General features: G+C 38.4%; 1 protein-coding gene across 15 annotated transcripts in view; it reads right to left on the reverse strand.

Moving 5' to 3' along the window:
- Nucleotides 1-24,647, reverse strand: part of DNAH5 (dynein axonemal heavy chain 5) — a 321,491-nt gene that overhangs the window by 91,219 nt on the left and 205,625 nt on the right. For 14 of the 15 annotated variants that reach the window (XR_001742034.2, XR_001742035.2, XM_017009177.2 and 11 more), the window contains 5 exons: nt 12,390-12,512; nt 11,969-12,182; nt 10,448-10,671; nt 7,170-7,368; nt 4,633-4,805 (listed from right to left, as the gene is read on the reverse strand). Coding sequence is in view for 13 of the 15 variants with exons in the window: in XM_017009177.2 (XP_016864666.1) it covers nt 4,633-4,805; nt 7,170-7,368; nt 10,448-10,671; nt 11,969-12,182; nt 12,390-12,512 (933 nt within the window). In the remaining 2 variants the exon portion in view is untranslated. Of the gene's footprint in view, nt 1-4,632; nt 4,806-7,169; nt 7,369-10,447; nt 10,672-11,968; nt 12,183-12,389; nt 12,513-18,087; nt 18,123-24,647 lie in introns of those variants that run through there. The other variant, XM_017009187.2, reaches the window with a different exon arrangement.

Here is a 24,647-nt window from a genome sequence, read left to right on the forward strand (position 1 = left end):
AGGTGGCGGCTTCCCCACAGTGTTCCTGTGGTAGTGACTAAGTCTCATGAGATCTGATGGTTTTATCAGGGGTTTTCGCTTTTGCATCTTCCTCATTTTTTGTCTTGCCGCCGCCATGTAAGAAGTGCCTTTCGCCTCCCACCGTGATTCTGAGGCCTCTTCAGCCATGTGGAACTATAAGTCCAATTAAACCTTTTCCTTCCCAGTCTTGGGTATGTCTTTATCAGCAGCATGAAAACGAACTAATACATATGGTATAGATGTTGGAATTTTAAAAAGAAAGAAAATGAGCATAAACACCCTCCTATTACTTGGCAAAGACAGTGATACCTAAGGTATCTACCAATAAGTGATTATAGATGGGTCAGGGGGGCCACTTCACACTGTTCAATAGCCCAAGACTATTCCACAGCCCCCTTGTGGCAGAAGTCCATGTTTATTTGGCTTTATTGGTGTTGAATGGACTAGTTACACCATCAGTCTTCCAAACCTACCTAGGAGAGATGGGAATAAAATTCCCCTTGATGTTCTTTATACCTTATGCAAGAACTGTTTCTCTTTCCCTCCTAACTGCATTTTGAGCCTAGGGGTATCACTGCGATGTCCATCTTTCTTAGAAGAATGATAGAGGCTGGGCAGGGACTGGAAGGGGTCACTTCTCCACAGCCAGGGAAGCTTCCTGAAGTCACTGGGGCTCTGCATTCTGCCAAGTTTTTGTTAAACATCCTTTCTCAGAATTCCCTCACTAGCTGCAGTGCATTCTATTCCTGTTGAAAATATGCCTGGTTTTGAATTACTTTCCCCAGTTTAGTGTGAACCTGGGGAAAAGGAGAACATATTTTCCATCTCTATGTGGACCTGAGAACCTGCAGGACTGGTAGGTGCATATGCCCTGTTTTTCCAGCCTCCTGCTTGTCCCCTCTATGTGGTTCTCGCCAAAGTCATTGTGGGTGGAGGTGGTCACACATGCCTCTTCAGATCTTCCCCTGACACAGCTTCAAGAGGCACAGACGGTGGGTAAGAAGCTACTGGAAGCCACACTAGAACATTCTGTGTCTTTCCTTGGTTGCCACTTTTCAACCATCATCATTTCCTTTGATGTAGGTGGATATATCAAGATGTTGTTAATTAGGTATTAAGGAATCCTCATCCCAAAACCTTTACTTGGAACTGGGCCAAGGTCTTACATTAAAACACATGGTAAACCCTCAAAACATATCTGACAAAGGAACAGATACATGAACAGAGAAGGCTTGCAAAGCAGACTCAAAACCTCATAATCTAGTTAAATCCAGTGAGACCCTCAAATAGGGCTATTTTGTCCTGTTATATACAGATTGTGAGGTGGAGGTATGCGTTTTTAATTTCATCAGCAAGTACTCAAAAATGAATAATGTCCACCCTGCCCCTCAGGAGCTCACGCTGGAACAGGGGACAGAGGCTGGGGTCATGAGCCATGGTGAGCACTGGCACAGAGACAGGAGTGATGGCAACCAGAGAAAAGAATGCTGGGGAAACATCCCCGCCTGGGTGAGGTATGTCTTAGGTGCAGAGCTGGACTTAGACTTGGATGACTAGAAGTACATCACACAAAGAAGGTGGTATGCCAGGCATGAGCTGAGCTACCTTTAAAGAAGGAGTGAGACACACAGTATCTCAGAATTAGCAAAAGGCCTGAAGTGCCCCCTGGGGTGAGAACTTCAGTATGAGGTATGGAAATATCAGGATATAAGGCAGCAAAGGATTGTTTAGGGCTTATTTGGGGGACTTGATTAAATTCCAGACAATGTATCCAGATTCTCTGTGTGGTTCTCAGCAGTGGTCCATCCTGTCAAGACTGAGGTCACTAAGACGGGAACCCACCCTCCTAGAGCCTAGTCTTCTGATAGGGAGACAAACACACAGATAAACTTTCCACAAGGTAGTATATGGGTGGGGAATACACATGGGGGAGGCGCTCCAGGATCATGATTTGTTTACCCATAAGCAGCCCGTTGTTCTGGATCACACACCAGGCAGAGCATGACTCGGGAGGCTGGCTGGTAAGCAGGAACTAGATCATGCAAAACCATATACACCATGGTTTGAACTTTCACCAAAGAGACAAAAGAGGTATCACACAGATACACTGTACTGAAAGAAAATTGAGTTTCTAACTAAGAAAGGAACTAAGAAATAGGCTTGGTCTCATATCATATCCTGTTTTGCTGCAGTTTTTGTCTGCAGTTCTTACTCTTGGCTTCTATCGTGCCTTGTAACTAGGCCACGTATTTCAAGGCTCACAGCAGCATGACACAGAGCGTGGAAGCGCTGTGCACAGAAAATGAGAGAAGACAGGGCCAGCCGGGAAGTGGAGAGGAATGCAACATTTTAGCTCAAAAACTCTAGTCACGGATTCTTCAGCCAATTCCAGAGCAGACAGACAAGAGGCAGAGAGTGAGAGAAAACACCAGCGAGGCCCCAGCACCGAGGCATTCACACCTCCAACATCACACCCAAAGTGTTTCAAGAAAGCCTCCTCACTCATCATCTGGGCTGCGAATCATGGAGAAAACGGCAGTTCTAGTGAACTTGCTCAAGCACGACACTTAACATAAATAACTGCATCTTCAACTTGAGCTATGAAATCCCAGGTCATTCAGATTCTGTCTCCAGCAGGCAGGCTATTTGTCATGAAATTGCCTTTGGTAATACTCATTTGGAAAATATATTTTCCTTTCCTTTTTCTTCCTTTTAATTATTAAAAATGACAGAATGTTTATTCTTCCTGAAACAACTCTTAATCAACTATAAATTAAGAGCGAATTTCAAAATGTTATTTATAGTTGGCTTTGGAAGAATATTTGAGCTCATAATTCGGTACAGATGCCTCAGATTCTGAGAATCCACAGAGTTGCCAAGCCAAGTGCCCTCGTGCTGGGGAGACCCAACTCCTGAGCAGCCTCTCTGTCTTCCTCCCTCTCTCTGACTTACTCCAGCCTTGCAGAAATGCTTTTCTTTCTTGCAGGGAAAAGGAGCAGGTAATCCCTATTTTCAGAGGAATGGTTGACTAGATAACCTCTAAAACCCCCTCCGTTTGTAGATTCAGTAATTTTTAGAGGTGACAATTTGTAATTGTGCAGTGGTTCCTCACGGTGGAACCTAAATCATGGAAGACAGTGTCGAATCATTTTCTTTCTAACTAAAAGGATGTAGTCCGGAAAAGTAGTTGATATCAACTAAGTGAGAATATCAACAATGGATTTTTACATGGCATTTTCTTGCACTGTAGATAAATTAAGTCACATAAGTTTTCAAATAAAATAATATATTCTACTTCCAACCTTTGAGGATCAACTGTCCTAAAAATGGATACGGTAATGACTCATATCAGCAGTCCCTAACCTTTTTGGCACCAGGGACCAGTATTGTGGAAGACAATTTTTCCACGGATGGGACGGGGCTGAGTGATGGTTTTGGAATGATTCAAGCGCATTACATTTATTGTGCACTTGATTTCTATTATTATTACATTGTAATATACTATGAAATAATTATATAGCTCGCCATAATGTAGAATCAGTGGGTGCCCTGAGCTTGTCTTCCTACAACTAGATGGTCCCATCTGAGGGTGATGGGAGACAGTGACAGATCATCAGGCATTCCATTCTCATAAGGAGCGTGCAACTAGATCCTTCACATGAGCATTCACAACAGGGTTCGGGCTCCTATGAAAATCTAATGCCACTGGAGGCAGAACTTGGCTTTGCATGTTCACCTGCTGCTCACCTCCTGCTGTGCAGCCCTGCTCCTAACAGGCCACAGACACATACTGGTCTGCGGCCCCGGGGCTGGGAACCCCTTCTCATATGACAAACTAGAATAGAAATTATACTTTCATGGTGGATTTCATTCTAACAGAATTTTCATCTCAAAGTCAACTGTTTATACACTATTTTTAAATTATTGTTTCTAATCATGGTAAAATACACATAATCTAAAATTTACCACTGTAACCACTAAGTATATTGTTCAATATCATTAAGTACATTTACATTGTTGTGCAACTATCAGCACCACTGATCTCCACAATGCTTTTCATCTTGCAAAACTAAAACTCTGTACCCATTTAACACTAACTCCCCAATCGTCTCTCCACCCAACCCTGGAATTCTCCATTCTACTTTTTGTCTCTGATTTTGGCTACACTGGGGATTTATATGAGTAGAATTATACAGTATTTACCCTTCTGAGTCTGGCTTACTCCACATAACATAATGTCCTCAAGGCTTATGTACTATTTTTTTATAGGATATTCTTTGCATGATACAAAAAGATGTAGACTTTGCCTGTGCTCTGAACTCAGATGTCAACCATATTCATCCTCCGTGGTGAAAGCACTGAGCTGGAAGCCATATAGAAACACTGAATAAAATTATCACATCACACATTTAAAGTACACAGGCTCTTATTTCAAGTCTATAAGGTGCGACATGTTGCATTCAGCTTAGAAATTAAATTGGAATATAGCATGGAGTCTAATTTTAAACTGAAGATTCTCCTAGGAAATGAAAATAAGAGAGGGAGAGGACCATGGTGTGAAGCCAAATGTCTGTCACCTCCACAAGGCACTACTCAGAGTGGCTACTGTACCTTGACTAAGTGAACCATGGCATCTGCAAAGAACACCATGTCCATGCCGGCGCCACGGATGCTCTCATTATAGAGCTGCAGGAACATATTCAGACGCTCTTTTAGGTGACTAAAAGATTCAATTGGCTCATAAATTTTAGGTGTTTCAGCATCAGCCTCTTCAGATGTTTCACCTTTGGTGGGAAATAAGAATCAGTTAAGTTTCTGCAAATACCTGCATTTTACTTCAATCTAAATTAATACACTCAAAGCTCTACAACCTAACACTGAATAACATTCATTTTAAGCTAAATGCCATAGTGTGTATTTTGCAAAAACAGAAGACAACAATAGAAGCGTTAGGATTTTTGTGATCATATGCAGTCTTTGTTGTTTCCTATCCAGCAAGAGTCAATTTCAAATAATATTATCGTCATTGAATTGAATTTGAACCCACAACTGATTATTGGCATTTCAAAGGTCCTCCCAGATATATTAGCTTAATGGTCAAGTGCTGAATGTCAGAATCAGCAAGGGAGGTCAAGAATTACAAAACTGTTTGATAAGAATAAAAAGAAAAAGGTTATTGCATTTACTCAGGAAATTTTTATAATTCATGAATCTCAGGTCAGTGGTAAAAATAGAAGTGAATTAGAATATGGGGTGGAGGGTTGAGAGAAATAGAAAAATAATTTCCAAAATGAATAAGCATATTCGATTATTTCACTAGGGCAAGATGTATTAAAATCAATATACTTTTTTAAAAAATTAGAAACATATAATATACCAGCTTAACACTTTTCCAGTGTTAACTACAAAGCAGAGGCCAAGGTGGGCAGATCACTTGAGGTCAGGAGTTCAAGACCAGCCTGACCAACATGGTGAAACCCCATCTCTACTAAAATTACAGAAATTAGCTAGGCCTGGTGGTGTATGCCTGTAGTCCCAGCTACTCGGGAGGCTGAGGCAGGAGAATCGTCAGGAGGCCGAGGTTGCCATAAGCCAAGCCTGCATCCAGCCTGGGAAACAGAGCGAGACTCTGTTTCAAAAAAAAAAAAAAGGATAATGCCCAAGAAAAAGCTAAATTGGGCACCTATAAATTCACAATCAATTAACATTAGTAATAGGGAAAAAAGGGACACATTAGTTGAATATACCAATAACGACTTAGAATTTCACTGGGTACGAGAAGAATGAGTGGGTCTTTCTAACCTTATAGTACATAATTATTTTCAATTGACTGTGTCCTAACATAATAGTATGTTAATCTTTTTATAACAAATGAGATTGGTTTAACACAATCATGAAGATTGACCTATCTGCAAAGCTCTCACTAATCAAATTCCAGTAGTCACAATTCTCATAAATGCCCAAATCAAGCTTTGAGAAATAGTGTTTCAATGACACAAAAGGTTATGCATTTGTCTCTAGACCCTCCCCCGGCCCCCAAAATGCAGCAGTTGTGCTTTGGTCCTTGAAAATCATAATCTGATTATTTATCCTTCTGAATTACAGGGAATAAATTACATACATTTTAATTACCTTGTAAGATGCCCTTACTCTTACAGGATTTTTGTATGTGTTTGACCTGATTAAAATAAAATGTGTCAGCTTCTTTCTGCAGAAGGATCATTCCAATTGCATCTCCAGAAATAAACATTATTTTGCAATTGTCACTCAGAAACTTTTGATAGTTCACATTTACAGTTATCAAATCTAGAGAAGCACTGCCTAGTCATTTCCAATCATTTTCAAGATATACTTAGCATGTTTTTAAACATGCTTTTAAAAATCTGCAAATTAACTTAAAATCCATCCTCAGTATTAGAAGAGGTTAAATGAAAGAAAAATATTTTTAACTAAGCCTAGTTACTTCTGAGGGGAAAAAAAGTGGAGCACTGCCTCTTTTCATAAGAAAAGTCATATATCTCAATTTCCCCTGGAACCATAATCACAAAAGCTTGCCCCACATCAGCCATCTCATTCCAATTACATTTAATGACCCTCTCATACAATTGGAAGTTTTCCTTTTTATTTTCAACATTCAGGATGACCTGAATAATAATAAGTATCATTATATTTGCTGCCTTTCATTTAGCAGTGACTACAGGCCATAGACTGCCCAAGCCATTCTACAGATAACATTTCATGGACTCCCCACGGTGCATGTGATGCACATAGTAATACTTTCATTTTTATGAATGAGGTTCAAGAGAGTGCCGAGATGCCCAGCTAACTAATGTGTGGTGGATTCCTTCCTCAAACTCACCTCTGTCTGCCAGACTGCAAGTCCTGTGCACTCTCTCCTACCGAATCCTGCCCCCCAACTCTACTTTAATATCCAAGCGTGATATGCATAAACTAGTTCGTCTTTAAACTCCATGATAATGCATTAATTCACTCATCCTAGTTTTATTGAGCATCTACTGTGTCTCAGGCTTGTATCAATAAAGTTTACTAGAAAGAAACTCAACATCCATAAACTGAATCTTCTGTCTTCAGATTTCCCTTTAGGGAACACCTTTTGGGGAATTCCAAATTCCACTTCAATAGTTTACCTGCAGCTTCAGGTGCATCTCTCAAGAAATCCACAAAATATGTGTCAATTCCACAATCCACCAAGAGTTTTTTCTCTTCACCAAACTCCTCCTCTACCAAACTTACTAAAGCCTTATCAAACCAGGTCACATCACTGGACACTGTGAAACGGTCAGCTATAACACGTTTACACTCATGCTTCCACAGCTTTAACAGATCCTGTTGAAAGTATAATTAAAATGTGTTAGTAATTCCTGTTATGCCGTAATTGGGAATTCAGGTTGACAGTACTGTAGAGTATTATCCTTCCTGATTTAAGATTCAACATTTTAAAAAGTTAGGGTTCAAATATGCTCAACTTCACTTCAAATTGTCCTCATTCAAGTATATTAAATAGAAAGTAGTCTATTTATTTGCAGTCTCTGAAGTAAGAAGAAAAAATCCTCCAACAATAATATTGAAAATTGCTCTGACCAATCAACAAACTAATATTCTACGTAAAAGTCTTCAGTTTGTAATAAATTAGTCTTTTTAATAAGACATCTATATTCATGTGGCCAGAGTATAACATAAGATACAGAATATGAACAACTCTCATGTATACAACTGAAAAATTACAAAGGTGTATTCACTTAACACAAAGTGAATAAAATTTGTGGCAAAAACTGGATTATCTGAACAAAAAAAAGCAAGCACCTAATCCAGATAATCCAAGGTCCAAGGTTAACTGAAAGTTGAGGAAATTAATTGCTCAATACTCCTGTTTATATAGCAAGAATAACAAATGTATGTAAGCAAGAATAACAAATGTATGTGTAAGCTTATTATTTGATATGAAAGACTGGTGGAAATTTCTTAGCTTCGTAACATTTTTCAGGTTACAGATTTTTAAGCCATTGCATTACTAATGATAGAATGCTATCTGGTTGCCTGAATATAAAAGGAGTTGAATGAAGTATATTCAATGATTCAGTTAAGACAAAAGTTTATGATAACATCAATTGCTGGAATTGTTTGTGCTGATTTAAAATAAGCATCAAAAATGGCTATTTCAATAGTAATCTTTGAAAACTGACTTCAACAATTCCATTGACTTGTAAATAACTTTGAGGGAAAAAAATCAAGTTAAAATATTCACGCCGCTAAACTGACTCTCACTTCTCTGCAGGAAGGAAAGTGAGTTTTCCCCAAAATATCATTAACAGACACTTCTCAAAAGAAGACATACATGTGGCCAAGAAACATATGAAAAGAAGCTCAACATCACTCATCATTAGAGAAATGCAAATCAAAACTGCAATGAGATACAATATCACATCAGTCAGAAAGGCTATTATTAAAAAGTCAAAAATAACAGATGCTGGCAAGGTTGCAGAGAAAAGAGAACACATATATGCTATTGGTGGGAGTGTAAATTAGTTCAAGCATTGTGGAATGCACTATGGTGATTCCTCAAAGAGCTAAAAGCAGAACTACCATTTGACCCAGAAATCCCATTACAGGGTATATATACCCAGAGGAATATAAATCATTCTACTATGCACATGCACGTGAATGTTCATTGCAGCACTATTCACAATAGCAAAGACACAGAATCAACCTAAATGCTCATCAGTGGCAGATTGGATAAAGAAAATGTGTGACCTATACACCATGGAATACTATGCAGCCATAAAAAAGAATGAGATCATGTCTTTCATGGGAACATGGATGGAGCTGGAGGCCATTATCCTTAGCAAACTAATGCAGGAATAGAAAACCAAATACTGCATGATATGTCCCCACCCAAATCTCATCTGGAATTGTAATCCTCATAATCCCCACATGTCAAGGGAGAGACCACAAGGAGGTAATTGAATCATAGGGGCTGTTTCCCCCATGGTGTTCTCCTGATAGTGAGTGAGTTCTCACAAGATCTTATGGTTTTATAAGAGGCTCTTCCCCTTTTGCTCCACACTTCTCCTTCTTGCTATCTTGTGAAGAAGGTGCCTTGCTTCCTCTTCGTTTTCCACCATGATTGTTAAGTTTCCTGAGGCCTCCCCAGACATGCTGAACTGTGAGTCAATTAAACCTCTTTTCTTAATAAATTACCCAGTCTCCAGCAGTTTTTATACCAGTATGAAAACGGACTAATACACCACATGTTCTCACTTATAAGTGGGAGCTAAATGATGAGAACTCATGAACACAAAGACAGAAATGGCAGACACTGGGGTCTACCTGAGGGTGGAAGGTGAGAGGAGAGAGAGGAGCAGAAAAGATAACTATTGGGTACTGGGATTAATACCTGGGTGATGAAATAATCTGTACAATAAGCCCCCATGAAACATGTTTACCTATGGAACAAACCTTCACGTGTACCCCCAAACCTAAAATAAAAGTTAAAAATAAATCAACAAATAATTTTTTAAAAAAAAAAGAATCGGCAAGTTTGGTTACCTATATTGCAAGCATCTGGACAGAGGTGAGTTTTTTTAGTAATCAACACTTGTGCTTAATGAACAGTTTTGTTGATAATTTAACTGTCTCTGTGTGTTTATATGGAGAAGTCCCCTAAAACCCATTTGCTTAATTACTTCTTTAGCTCTAGAAAGGCTTAAACAGAGGCCAACCCTGTCTTAGCCTGGGCACATAGGCTACGCTTTGGAACAAAAGCATACTGGATTTTCACATAGCATTCTTAGTTTGAGGGAAATTCTTATAACACTGGGAAATGTCATATTCAAGTGTGTGTACAAATGATCATTTTTCTATTAAATGAACTTCGTAAGCTGCTGCCTCTCCTCAACTTTACCAATGTACGTAAATCTTTTAGTGCATCCAGTTACATGGAAAAGAAAAATCATAGATGATTATCAACAAAATGGGTTTTTTAATTTTGAATATTTATTATAAAGATAATTACTTTTTAAGTTAAAGTGTCAAGCTTAAAATATGAAGACTATTATATAGTAAAATCCATAGCGATTGTTTCCATTATTTAGTATAAGAAACATATCTTCTTCTCATACTAGAACTGGGAAAATAAATCAATTGTTTCTTTTATTCTTTTCATTAAAAAATAATTGTGTATATGATGTTCTTAAAACACAAACCTAATTTAATTGGAATTTATCATTGACTGACATTTTCTGACATAATTTATTTCATTATGTTAGTTTAAAAGCAGTAAAGAATACCCATGCTGAAACATTCCAAAATATGTTCACAGTTCAAGTAAAAAATAAATCAATAAAAATATTTAGAATATATCATTAATAGCAATGTTATTTGTTTTTCTTTCTTCAGTGTCACTTACATTTGGTTCCTTGATGACCTCTGAAGTAGTGTTCAGCATTCCCTGCCAGACCCGAGAAAGATCTCGTAGGTTAAACACATAATGGAATTTTGCAGGGGTAGGAAGCATTTTAATCTTGGTCATCTGCCATAGTCGGCGTGTCAGAGGCACCAATTTTGTCACAGAATCTCTCACTTCTTCTGAGAAACCCCTCTGAGTACAGTAGTGGCCTACCCCAATCACACCTGAAAAGGGGGAAATTACAGCATTTTGATTAGCCATTCAAAGAAATTAAATGAAAATGAAAAGCATTATAGCATAGGGTTTGCAAAAATGTCATTATACATTTTAATAGATAATCACATATAAAAGAAAAGTATGTTAATGTTCTCTTGTTTTTTCAAATACAGTATAACAAAAAATAGATACAAGTTTAAGAAAATAAGTTCAAAACACTGAAAAACTGATTAAGAAATACTGCCGAAGACTCTGGTTGCACCACTTCAATATTATTAAATGGGTAACAATGATAAATGCATGAAGTTACCTTATAATAAGATAAGAAAAAAGTTTTTATAAGTCCTCTAAGGTTTCTAGTTTCTGTCATTGCCTTTCCACGCATTATAAAATACTTTCATTTACTTTTTATGTAAAATTTTCCAGGCAATAAGGAATAATTAAAAATGATAACAGTCATTTTTTTCTGGTCCATGTTTCTTTTCCCAAGCTTAGATAATTCCAATGTCTGTTGGTTTCCAGACCTTGCTCACTGCTGTGACTGAAGGGAGATTACTGCCATACTTCACTAGCCTGGGGCACCCAGATGACATTTTCGTTTGCCAGAAATTAATTAGGGTAATCCTGATGAGCTTTTTCTCAATAGCAGCGTCAGAAATTGTAAACTAAATACTTAACATAAATGTGTTCAAACCTTTATGCTCTTTTCTGCACAAATAAGTCACAAGTGCATAATCATTACTCGGGTAGGCATATATGCTTACTTATTTGGCTAGTGATTGTTCGACTAAATTATCTATGAAATACTACATATTTAATCAATAACTTATTAGAATCCAGTAAATTACTCTGAATTTCAGACCGTGTCCAATCTGCGCTCTGGGTGCCATTATTTCTTTGGCCAAAATCATTCTATGGGTTGGTTAAAGTATAAGCTACATAAACTTTCGACATGGAACATAGCAATCCAGACCTCAAAACTATGTGCCCATGAGGAAACAACCTCATGTATGGGGAAACAATTTCATTTCCATGTTCATTTAATGTTAAACCTCCTTGCTTAAGAAGTTAGAAACAGTTAAAGAAAACCATAAATGGAAAAGCTCTACCAAGTCATCCAAATCAGGAAACACCTAGAATCAATCCCTATAGGAAATGAAATACACTGCTTGAGAGTGATGGAGGCTGTAGACCAAGGAGCCACCCAGTGCTCTTTCTGTGTGGGTCTTGGGTGAAGATTTTCAAAAAGGAACCCAAGCAGGTGTTCTTCCTCACCCTCCCACCCCACATCCTCTTGATCTTTACCAAAGATCTTGTCCACAGAAGCTTCAGAGGGCAACGTGCAATTAAATATAGAGAACTGCCTCTTGAGTCTTTGGGGTATGTCATTGCGTCCACCACCAGGATGGATCATGGCTGCCAAAAACTGGATGTCCACGATGCTGGTGAACTCCCCAGGCTTCTCTAGATTATAGAATCCATTTTGTTCCATCAGCTGTCGCACTATCTCATTCGTAACCTACAAAAGACAACTTTCAGAATTAAAGCATCATTCCTTTCTATCCCCGGAGCCTAACTCCTTGAGTGTTTCCAAAGAAAGAACTTTACTGGAATTCAGAAATTATATCTTGAAAAAGTAAAAACTTAAAAAAAATTTTTAAAAACTCTTCTAAGAATAAATCAATACCAAATTAAAGAAATAAAATGCACAATAGAATGATGATACCTGATCTCCCCACTCATTGATTATTGGCATATTCACATCATCAATAAAAACAGTCATCTTCTTTCCCGCAGGAGGGCCATATGTTGTACCCATTCGTTTATCCACATAGCTCTCTATCGTCCTCTGTGAAAAAAAAATCAACTGAAACATCTGTGAAAATATCCCCTAAAACCTGGTCAATTATTTTAAAAAACAACAAAAACTGGTAACCTTTGAACTGATATGAATTATTTCTAAAAAGCCAAATTTCCCCCTTAATTCTAACAAATTCTAAAGTACCTAAATTATCTTGTATAACATTCACAAAATTTGAAAATCCAGTTTAATTTAGAAGGAAATGAAATTCTAACCAATGTGAATTTGAATGGGATGAGACTCGTCTGTCCATTTCTAAAAATTTACTTTTGTCTTCTTCTGTTGGTGACACTATGTTCCCCATTATTCAAAGTCTTGCTAATAGTTTCCCTATAACCAGCAACAAAGTTAAACAAGGCTACTGTGTGAGAAGCTTCTGAGGTCTGCACTCCGAGCTGCACAGCCCATCATGGTCTGAAGGCTGAAACTGACTGCTGTCACCTGGCACAGCTCATACCCACTCTTTTGGGCAGATGCAGTTACACGGATTCAATTCTCATTCCCTGACACAGAGTGAACAAAGCTCACTTATGTCTTCTCTCTCATTTTTACATTCTGAGCTTAGGCAGTGCAAGAGAAGACCACGCTGCACTCTGTAAAAAACCTTCCTTGAGGCCGGGCACGGTGGCTGATGCCTGTAATCCCAGCACTTTGGGAGGCAGAGGCGGGCAGATCACGAGGTCAGGAGATCGAGACCATCCTGGCTAACACGGTGAAACCCTGTCTCTACTAAAAATACAAAAAAAATTAGCCGGGTGTGGTGGCAGATGCCTGTAGTCCCAGCTATTCGGGAGGCTGAGGCAGGACAATGGTGTGAACCCGGGAGGCAGAGCTTGCAGTGAGCCAAGATAACGCCACTGCACTCCAGCCTGGGCGACAGAGCGAGACTCCGTCTCAAAATAAATAAATAAATAAATAAACCTTCATTGCAGTACACAAAAAGATATTAAAACTGAAAGAACTGGGACACATTTAAAGCAGCGTGTAGAGGGAAATTTATAGCACTAAACACCCACAAGAGAAAGCAGGAAAGATCCAAAATTGACACCCTAACATCACAACTAAAAGAACTAGAAAAGCAAGAGCAAACAAATTCAAAAGCTAGCAGAAGGCAAGAAATAACTAAGATCAGAGCACAACTGAAAGAGACAGACACACAAAAAACCCTTCAGAAATCAATGAATCTAGGAGCTGGTTTTTTGAAAAGATCAACAAAATTGATAGACGGCTAGCAAGATTAATAAAGAAGAAAAGAGAGAAAAATCAAATAGATGCAATAAAAAATGATAAAGGGGATATCACCACCGATCCCACAGAAATAAAAACTACCATCAGAGAATACTATAAACACCTCTACACAAATAAACTAGAAAATCTAGAAGAAATGGATAAATTCCTGGACACATACACCCTCCCAAGACTAAACCAGGAAGAAGCTGAATCTCTGAATAGACCAATAACAGGCTCTGCAATTGAGGCAATAATTAATAGCCTACCAACCAAAAAAAGTCCAGGACCAGACGGATTCACAGCCAAATTCTACCAGAGGTACGAAGAGGAGCTGTTACCATTCTTTCTGAAACTATTCCAATCAATAGAAAAAGAGGGAATCCTCCCTAAGTCATTTTATGAGGCCAGCGTCATCCTGATACCAAAGCCTGGCAGAGTCACAACAAAAAAAGAGAGTTTTAGACCAATATCCCTGATGAACATTGATGCGAAAATCCTCAATAAAATACTGGCAAACTGAATCCAGCAGCACATCAAAAAACTTATCCACCATGATCAAGTTGGCTTCATCCCTGGGATGCAAGGCTGGTTCAACATATGCAATCAATAAATGTAATCCAGCATATAAACAGAACCAACAACAAAAACCACATGATTATCTCAATAGATGCAGAAAAGGCCTTCGACAAAATTCAACAGCTCTTTATGCTAAAAACTCTCAATAAACTAGGTATTGATGGAACGTATCTCAAAATAATAAGAGCTATGTATGACAAACCCACAGCCAATATCATACTGAATGGGCAAAAACTGGAAGCATTCCCTTTGAAAACTGGCACAAGACAGGGATGCCCTCTCTCACCACTCATATTCAACATAGTGTTGGAAGTTCTGGCCAGGGCAATCAGGAAAGAGAAAGAAATAAAGGGTATTCGATTAGGAAATGAGGAAGTCAAATTGTCCCTGTTTGCAGATGACATGGTTGTATATTTAGAAAACACCATTGTCTCAGCCCAAAATCTCCTTAAGCTGATAAGCAACTTCAGCAAAGTCTCAGGATACAAAAGCAATGTGCGAAAATCACAAGCATTCCTATACACCATTAACAGACAAACAGAGAGCCAAATCATGAGTGAACTCCCATTCACAATGGCTACAAAGAGAATAAAATACCTAGGAATCCAACTTACAAGGGATGTGATGGACCTCTTCAAGGAGAACTACAAACCACTGCGCCACGAAATAAAAGAGGACACGAAAAAATGGAAGAATATTCCATGCTCATGGATAGAAGGAATCAATAGCATGAAAATGGCCATACTGCCCAAAGTAATTTATAGATTCAATGCCATCCCCATCAAGCTACCAATGACTTTCTTCACAGAATTGGAAAAAACTACTTTAAATTTCATATGGAACCAAAAAAGAGCCCACATTGCCAAGAAAATCCTAAGCCAAAAGAACAAAGCTGGAGGCATCACACTACCTGACTTCAAACTATACTACAAGGCTACAGTAACCAAAACAGCATGGTACTGGTACCAAAACAGAGAGATAGACCAATGGAACAGAACAGAGGCCTCAGAAATAACACCACACATCTACAACCATCTGATCTTTGACAAACCTGAGAAAAACAAGAAATGAGGAAAGGATTCCCTATTTAATAAATGGTGCTGGGAAAACTGGCTAGCCATACATAGAAAGCTGAAACTGGATCCCTTCCTTACACCTTATACAAAAATTAATTCAAGATGGATTAAAGACTTAAATGTTAGACCTGAAACTATAAAAACCCTAGAGGAAAACTTAGGCAATACCATTCAGGATACAGGCATGGGCAAGGACTTCATGACTAAAACACCAAAAGCAATGGCAACAAAAGCCAAAATAGACAAACGGGATCTAATTAAACTAACAAGCTTCTGCACAGCAAAAGAAACTACTATCAGAGTGAACAGGCAACCTACAGAATGGGAGAAAATTTTTGCAATCTACCCATCTGAAAAAGGGCTAATATCCAGAATCTACAGAGAACTCAAACAAATTTACAAGAAAAAACAAACAAACAACCCCATCAATAGTGGGCAAAGGATATGGATAGACACTTCTCAAAAGAAGACATCTATGCAGCCAACAGGTACATGAAAAAATGCTCATCATCACTGGTCATCAGAGAAATGCAAATCAAAACCACAATGAGATACCATCTCATGCCAATCAGAATGGCAATCATTAAAAAGTCAGGAAACAACAGATGCTGGAAAGGATGTGGAGAAATAGGAACGTTTTTACACTGTTGGTGGGAGTGTAAATTAGTTCAACCATTGTGGAAGACAGTGTGGTGATTCCTCAAGGACCTAGAACTAGAATTACCATTTGACCCAGCAATCCCATTACTGGGCATATACCAAAAGGATTATAAATCATGCTACTATAAAGACACATGCACACGTATGTTTACTGCAGCACTATTCACAATAGCAAAGACTTGGAACCAACCCAAATGTCCATCAATGATAGACTGGATTAAGAAAATGTGGCACATATACACCATGGAATACTATGTAGCCATAAAAAAGGATGAGTTAATGTTCTTTGCAGGGACATGGATGAAGCTGGAAACCACCATTCTCAGCAAACTATCACAAGGACAGAAAACCAAACACTGCATGTTCTCACTCATAGGTGGGAATTGAACAATGAGATCACTTGCACACAGGGCGAGGAACATCACACACTGGGGCCTGTCTGGGGGTGGGGGGCTGGGGGAGGGATAGCATTAGGAGAAATACCTAATGTAAATGATGAGTTGATGGGTGCAGCAAACCAACATGGCACATGTATACCTATGTATCAAACCTGCACACTGTGCACATGTATCCTAGAACAACTTAAAGTATAATAAAATAAATAAATAAATAACTGAAAGAAGGGACACTGGAAGGGGTAGGAAGAGGATCTGAGGAGAGGACTCCAGGCTCTTGACTGGTGTTCTCACGTCCATGGTAGTGCAATGTGGCTTGGGAATCAATTGTCTTTCAAAATGTATGCATGAGTAACCAGAGTCTGGCACTGCAAAGCAAACAGAAAGGGCTTTGAAGTTCTCAAACTCCAGAAGCTTCAAAACTCAAAAGCTCATTTCATTTATATAACTGTAGGAATCCACTAATGCATGATTTTAAATCATGTTAAAGATGTTGTATAAATACAGAAGAAAGTGGAGGTATGTAAAGATAAAATAAATTCTCCTTCTCTTATCCAAAAGATGTTTTATTTCATGACAAAGAACAAACCAGTTAAAAGTGAATTTTATGAACAAGATATAACCACAAAATGAGACAAAATATAAGACAAAAAAAAGCAAAACTCTATACAACTGTCCTTGAGAATCTTCACAGTAATTGCACAGTGTACATTTTCATCATGATTTTATTTATTTTATTTATTTATTTATTTATTTATTTATTTATTTATTTATTTATTTATTTTGAGACAGTGTCTTGCTCTGTTACCCAGGCTGGAGTGCAATGTTGGCTAACTGCAGCCTTTGCCTCCCGGGTTCAAGCGATTCTCCTGCCTCAGCCTCCCAGTAGTTGGGATTACAGGTGCACACCACCACACCCTGCTAATTTTTGTATTTTTAGTAGAGATGGGATTTCACTATGTTGGCCAAGCTAGTCTCAAACTCCTGACCTCAGGTGATCCACCTGCCTCAGCTTCCCAATGTGCTGGGATTACAGGCATGAGCCACTGTGCCTGGCCTCATCATTTTAATGAATAATAGCAAGCAATGTGAAAATTTTTCACTATTTTTAAATAGAATGAGATATAAATATATTACAACTCATTCAATTACAAAACAAATCTCCCATGACATTGTACAATAGCAAAAAGAATTTCATACCCCCCCCCACAAAAATGCAAAATTGTTTGCATTTGCTAAATTTGCTCTTCTTTTCAATGAATTGAAATGCACCTCCTTATGGCCAACTAGGACTTCCAGACATTCCCATGTCTATTAATGAGAACACTTTTTGGCACATGAAGATTTTATGTATTGGGAAGCTTTCTCAAGAGCTAAATGTACTAGGTGGGATAGTCAGAGTAATACAGAGTAATAGCCACACACCTATATTTTCTTCCCCTCCACTGTAACCCTAATTTTTTTGAAATGATAGGAAATCATCCCTATCACCACTAAGCTATACATGTCATAAAAGAGTTAAATTGACAAAAGCACAACAAAATAGGGAGAAAAATTAAGCAACCTGAGAACCTAGAAGTTGAGATTTCTTTCCATTTTTAGAATTGTTGCAGATTCAATAGTTACCTGAGTGTTGAAGTTTGGTAAGACCTCCTGAAGGCCTGAAACACAACACAGGTTGGTTATGCCTTCTCTGAAATGCTTGGAACCAGAAGTGTTTTGTATATTGAATGTTTTCAGATTTGGGAATATTTGCATATACATAATGAGATATCTTGGGGATGGAACCCAAATCTAAACATAAAAGCCATTTGTGTTTCCTATATACACTTTATATATATAACCAGGAAGTAGTTATATATGCTATGTATGTATGTGTGTATTTATTAAAATGTGTATTTATATGTTTACTTACATTTTATTTTAAAATATTTAAAATTAAATATTTCATATTTATACAATTTTGTGCATGAAACAACATTCGTGTATATTGAACAATATATGTTGGACATGCTTGCATGGGGGAATCTGGTAGTGTGCTGAAAAGATATGAAAGCAGGAGGGTGCTGGGAGGGTCTTTCTTCCCTTGGGGATGCTGAATAAACTGTGTGTTGTGCACCTGCATTTTGACTACAACCTGTCACTTGAGGTGAGGTGTGAAATATTTTGAGCTTGCCAATGCTCAAAAAGTTTTGGATTTTGGAGCAACTTGAATTTCAGATTTTCAGATTAGGCATGTTCCTCCTGTATTGCATGCTCTACTCCTTTGGATAGCTATCCATTTGGGGCTGTTCGAAAAAACTGTATACTTGGACATCTGATCTGTCCAAGCTGGAGGTTCCATAACATCACAAAAATAAGCATATTCAAACATAAACTCCACTTCCTTACTCAGCACAAAGTCTGCACCCCTTTGGGGTGCTCAATTCAGAAAGTGGCACCAACTACCTATTGCCCCATCCAAAAATTTCCACATCTAACAACACTGAGTTTTTCTATTATAATTTCAACACCCTTTCTAAAGTATCTCTTCCTACCTAAACAACAGTAGGCCCCCATTCCATTATGTCTTTCTTTCTCACAGGGATTAATGTCATGACCCCTTAAATTGCCTTCCCTGACTGCAGTCAATCCTGGAAACTTCCTTATGACTCATACACAATGGCTATATTGCATGATTTGTAATTTTACCTAGAATTTTTTTGTCTCCCCCAAAGAAATCCGTCTAAAGAATCACGGATCATCTGTGTAGTATTCTGCCACCCACATTCCTTCCAATCTCTTTGATTGGTGTTCCCACCTCATCCACTGTTTTGCTGTTATGAACTGCGGTCCAGTTAATAAAACCAAGTAGATATGTTCGCTTATTAGATTATTGCCTGTCTCCTCCACTAGAAGGTAAGGAGGGAAGGCACCTTGTTTTCCTTACTTTACTCATTATTTCATCCTCAGTGTCTAGAAGGGTGTCTGGTACTATGTGTTTGTTGTTAAATATTTTTTACATAAATAAATACAAGAAACCTGGAGTCATCTTTGACTTTTCTCACTGTCTCCTATGCCTCTCCTCCAACAACCTTGATATGGTTTGGCTCTGTGTCCCCACCCAAATCTCATGTGGAATTGTCATCCCCAATGTTGGAGGTGAGGCCTGGTGGGAGGTGACTGGATCATGGAGGTGGTTTCTAACGGTTTAGCACTATCCCCCCAGTGCTGTCTCATGAGTGAGTTCTCACGAGATCTGGTTGCTTAAAGGTGTGTAGCACCTCCACCTTTGCTCTCTCACTCCTGCTCCGGCCACGTGAGAAGTGTCTACTTCCCCTTCCAACATAACTGAAAGTTTCCTGAGGCCTCCCCAGCCACGTTTCCCGTATAGTCTGTGGAATCATGAGCCAATTAAACCTCTTTTCTTTATAAATTACCCAGTCTCAGGTCATTCTTTATAGTAGTGCAAGAACAGACTAACATAAACCCCTACTCAACCAATCACAAGTTCTGGTAGTTCCACTTCCTAACCAAGGTTGAATGCATCCTTGTTCTGTTTCCTTTCTCATTTTACCATCTTGGTCCAGCCCAACCTCCCTCCTGAGAAATGACTGCGACTGTCTCCTCTCAGGTCTCTCTGAGTGCAGCCATGTCTCTTGCATCTTGTTCTCCACTCTACAGCCAGAATGAGCTTTCTAAAGGGCAATGCAATCCTCCTCAGGACTCCAGGGGGTTCCTCGTCAGTGACTTACAGGGAACTCTATGGTACCCACTACTTACTCCTCCAGTCTCACTTCCAGACAGTCCTTCTCACTGTCTTTGTTCTGGACCCTCAGGGTCTTAGTTCATTTACATACAGTTAAAAAAAAACACATAGACTGTGAAGTGATGTTCACCTTATAGGCTGGCTTACAGTATTCCTTATGGGATCCTTATTTATATATTTCTAGAGTAGCCATTTCTAAGCCAAAAAAAAATCTCTCAGGATTATCATTAGCCAAATTCACATTGTGAAATATTGATTTAGATGAGTGATCTTCTAAAAATGTCACTTCTGTCAATCCAGTTACTGATTTTTAAAAAAAAAAAATTAAGTCTCTAGCAAGGACTTGCACTAAGGACATATACTGTTCTTTGAGAATAGACAATCACTTTACTCTGAAATTGGGGAATCGTAGTCAGCATGACAGCATCTTATGCAATTTATGAAACCTAAACAAGATTCCAATCTCATTGTCTGTCTACACACATAGGATATCATTAACCCAAGCTGTGACAGCAGCATTTTAAGACATGAAAACCAGATGGTCAGAAAACCAGGTAGGCTGAGGAATGGAGCTCCCTTCTGGCTCTTTTCTGAGCTAGAAGCCCTAAACCTAGGGACAATTCAATTACTGAATTAATTTCTCAATAGACAACTCAGCTTTTATAATTCCTAGAAATTAATATAAATAATAAACTCCCCCAAGGAATGATCAACTCTTTCATTATGCTGATTTCTGTAATCCCCTATGGAAACTAATCGGCTCCTCCTCCGGACTCCACAGTACAGCATTGAGATTCTGCCATAAGTAGCACTTATCTTGTCAACTACACTTGGTTATGCACATGTCTGTTTCCCCAACAAGACAAAGGGAGGAAAGCAACATTGGAAGGGGTATTGGAAGGATCATGTGCAGCTGAGGCGACGGTGCATTGCCTAGTTCTTAGGTACAACATTCACGCAATCATCTTTGTGAATGAGACACAGTGCAAAATCTGCACGACCTGCAAGGTCTTACATAACAGCTCTGACTAGGCTGAAAGTCAGGAAAAACGAACTAAACTACTGCTTCTCACATTTATCAACTCTATGATTTCAGGTAAGCCACTTAATATTTCTGGGTATAATACAACCCAGAAATGAGAGTGTGTATAGATACGTAAATCATATGTACGTACATAAATATGCATATGAATATGCATATATGCATTATGCATTAATGATATAATATATATGAAAGCAATTCATGAGCTTGCTACAGAGTATTATGCATTAATGATATATAATATATATGAAAGCAATTCATGAGCTTAATGTAGTATAAAATGTAAAGCTATTTTATTATTTCTATGTGTAGCTCTATACACTAGCACCTAAATCATTTTTCATGCATGTTACATACAATTAAACAGAAATATAAAATATAATTAATTTTAGGTTTTCATATGTGTGCTATTAGCTAAAACATAAAAATGGAGAGTTATGCTCTTTATTAAGAAATCTACTGCCTAATAACATCTTCCCATTTTATTGTAATTCAAACAAAAATAGTCTTACATTAGGAAAGTTTAAAATGCTCAATAGTACATTGTAAAAAGTAAAATATGTCAAAAATCACATGAAAATACAATAATGCATAACTGAAGCTAAAAATAAAACAAGTGCACTAAGTGATAAACCAGCCCTTTAGATATTAATATAGATAAAGAAAGGCCATTGGAAGGAAGCATGTGGGTGCACAGCACAGCAGAGCACATGGACCCTGGTTTCCAGCTGTTTCCAGCTTAGGTTCTGCCACCAACTAAGTGAATTCAGACAATGCTTGAATCTCCTTCCACCCAAGTACATCAGTCTTAACCGTAAAACCTGACATTTTAAGAGAGCTTTATGATACAAATATACTTTCACATATTATCTCTTAGGAAACTAGTCTTCAAACTGTGCTCTGAGGAGCCAAAAGGATTTTCTGCAAACACAGGGATCCCTTGCAGGAAGAAAAGATGAGGCTGGAATGGGCTGCAGGACCCCAGCTCCAATTCCACCAAAGCAAATCCATGGTTACTTATTTTATAGATTAATCTACTGCACAAGATGTCACTTGGAAAAGTGGTTCTGGGTCCAAAAAACACTGTGGAATTTCCTTCCAGGTCTAGGAGTCTTATTTTTTAAAAAATAAAACCTATTGCTATGCAACCATTTGTAAGATGGTAGCTATATTCAAAAAACTTTATAATTATTTTTAGAAATCTTTTCAGAAATTATCTTAATTTTTGCTTTCTTCTTTTCACCTTCTTGTATTGCTTAAATTTCTACTTCTATGTATGAATTACTTTCAAAAATAAAAAAATTAATATTAGTTCGGGGGGAAAAATGAGGAATCTTTCTTAAAAAATGGACTAAATTCCCTTAGCCAAAAAATGGAGTGACTGTATAATTTTTGTCCAAACTTTTGATAGTGGCAAAGGATGCTATTAATTATTAATCTGAGACAATGAAAGTAACCTGGATTGTCCGAGGCAAAAAGTGACAGTCCCCTCTACTGATGAAAGATGTGAAAGTTACATCAAGATGAAAACAACCTGTGAAGTAACAGATACGCGCCCTTCGTTGGACAGTGTGCCATCTTGGTAACAGCTGAGAAATGGACAGTATCTATTTTCTCATCTACAATTTCAGTTTGGTTGGGATCCAGATACGTGGGAGATGCAGAGACAAATGCTCTGCTCCATCAGCCCTGTTTAGCATGAATGACTGAAAATTACAGTGAGAAAGTTAATTACAACAGTTTGGCTAATTGAAAGCTTTCTAAAACTAATGAGTCTTGCTTAATAGAAATCCCTGATGCTCCACAGTCAAAACAGTCTCTGGCACGAAACAGAGTGGATGATCCTGTGATGCTTCTGAACAGAAAAAAGAAATAGTGATGTGTTAACTCCACCTTAACACTGAAGAACAGTGGGGAATCTGGCTAAAGCCATGTGTATCAGATAATGGGAGCCTAAGGAATACTTCACTCTTCTTCTATTTATTATATTTGAATATGGTACCACTTCTAGAAATTTATTATATGGTTTATGAATTTGTATATCAAACAACAGGTTTTCTAGATAACATATGGCTTTTTCCAGGAAACGAGTACATATTTCATGTTAAAGAGACAGAAACCACAGATCTTTAATACCTGGCAGAGATAAATGTCACAGAGTTGGTAACAAAAACGCAATGACAAGGCCTCATTGCATAATAAAAGATTGGACTGGCCTTTGTTCCTGGCTCCTGGGATGGAGTCTTTAAACCCTGGAAATTTCCTGAGTGATAGAAAGGACTCACATGGGCCCCTCATACCACTCATGCCAACCACTCATCACCAGCCATGTGATGAGAAGGTTGAAGTTTTAAGTCACATGATATCAGTTGACCTGGGAGGGGAGCTGATGGAGATTTGAGTTCAGTCTTAAAGATCTTGGCTGGGCACAGTGACTCACGCCTGTAATCCCAGCACTTTGAGAGGCCCAGGAGGGCAGATCATGAGGTCAAGAGATCAAGACCATCCTGGACATCATGGTGAAACCCCATCTCTACTAAAAATACAAAAATTAGCGGGGTGTGGTAGCCCATGCCTATAATCCCAGCTACTCAGAAGGCTGGGGCAGGAGAATTGCTTGAACCCAGGAGGTGGAGGTTGCAGTGAGCCAAGATCACACGACTGCACTCCAGCCTGGTGACAGAGCGAGGCTCCGTTTCAAAAAAAATAAAAAGATCTGAGTCTCGTCCTATGGCCAATGATGTAATCAAGTATGCCTATGTAATAAAACCCCAATAAAAACCCAGGACACCAAGGCTCAGGTGAGTGTCCAGGTTGGTGATATACATGATATGCCTGGAAGGTAGCACATCCTGAGGACAGGGAAGGTTTGCATTTGAGACCCTCCCAAACCTCGCCCTCTTTATCTTTTCTTTTGACTGACACTTACTTGTATCTTTGCAAGAAAGCTGTAATGATAAGCATAGCATTTCTCCGAGTTCTGTAAGTCATTCTAGTGAATTATGGAAACTGAGAGGGCTGAGGGAATGGCCTAATTTGTAGCCACTTGGTCAGAGGTATGGGTCTCTTGAGAACCCCTGAGCTTGTGGCTGGTGTCTGAGTGAGGGCAGTCTTGTGGGGACTCGGCCCTTAACTTCTGAAGTCTGCATTAGCTCTGCCATAGTTACAATCAGAACTACACTGTAGGCCTAAAGAGTTCATACAGTCTCATGAAGTGTGGATCATTAGAAAATCACCCCACATAATGAAAAAATAATCACACTCTGATCTGATTTTTTTAAAACCTTTATCCTCAAATAATGTTATAATTATAACCTTTAAAGAGAATGTCCTCCTAAGGTAAAACTAACAAAAGCTCTTTAATTGTAAAGCGGTATTAAAGGAACACATATAACG

Source organism: Homo sapiens, chromosome 5 (assembly GCF_000001405.40).
Source record: "Homo sapiens chromosome 5, GRCh38.p14 Primary Assembly".
Taxonomy (NCBI): domain Eukaryota; kingdom Metazoa; phylum Chordata; class Mammalia; order Primates; family Hominidae; genus Homo; species Homo sapiens.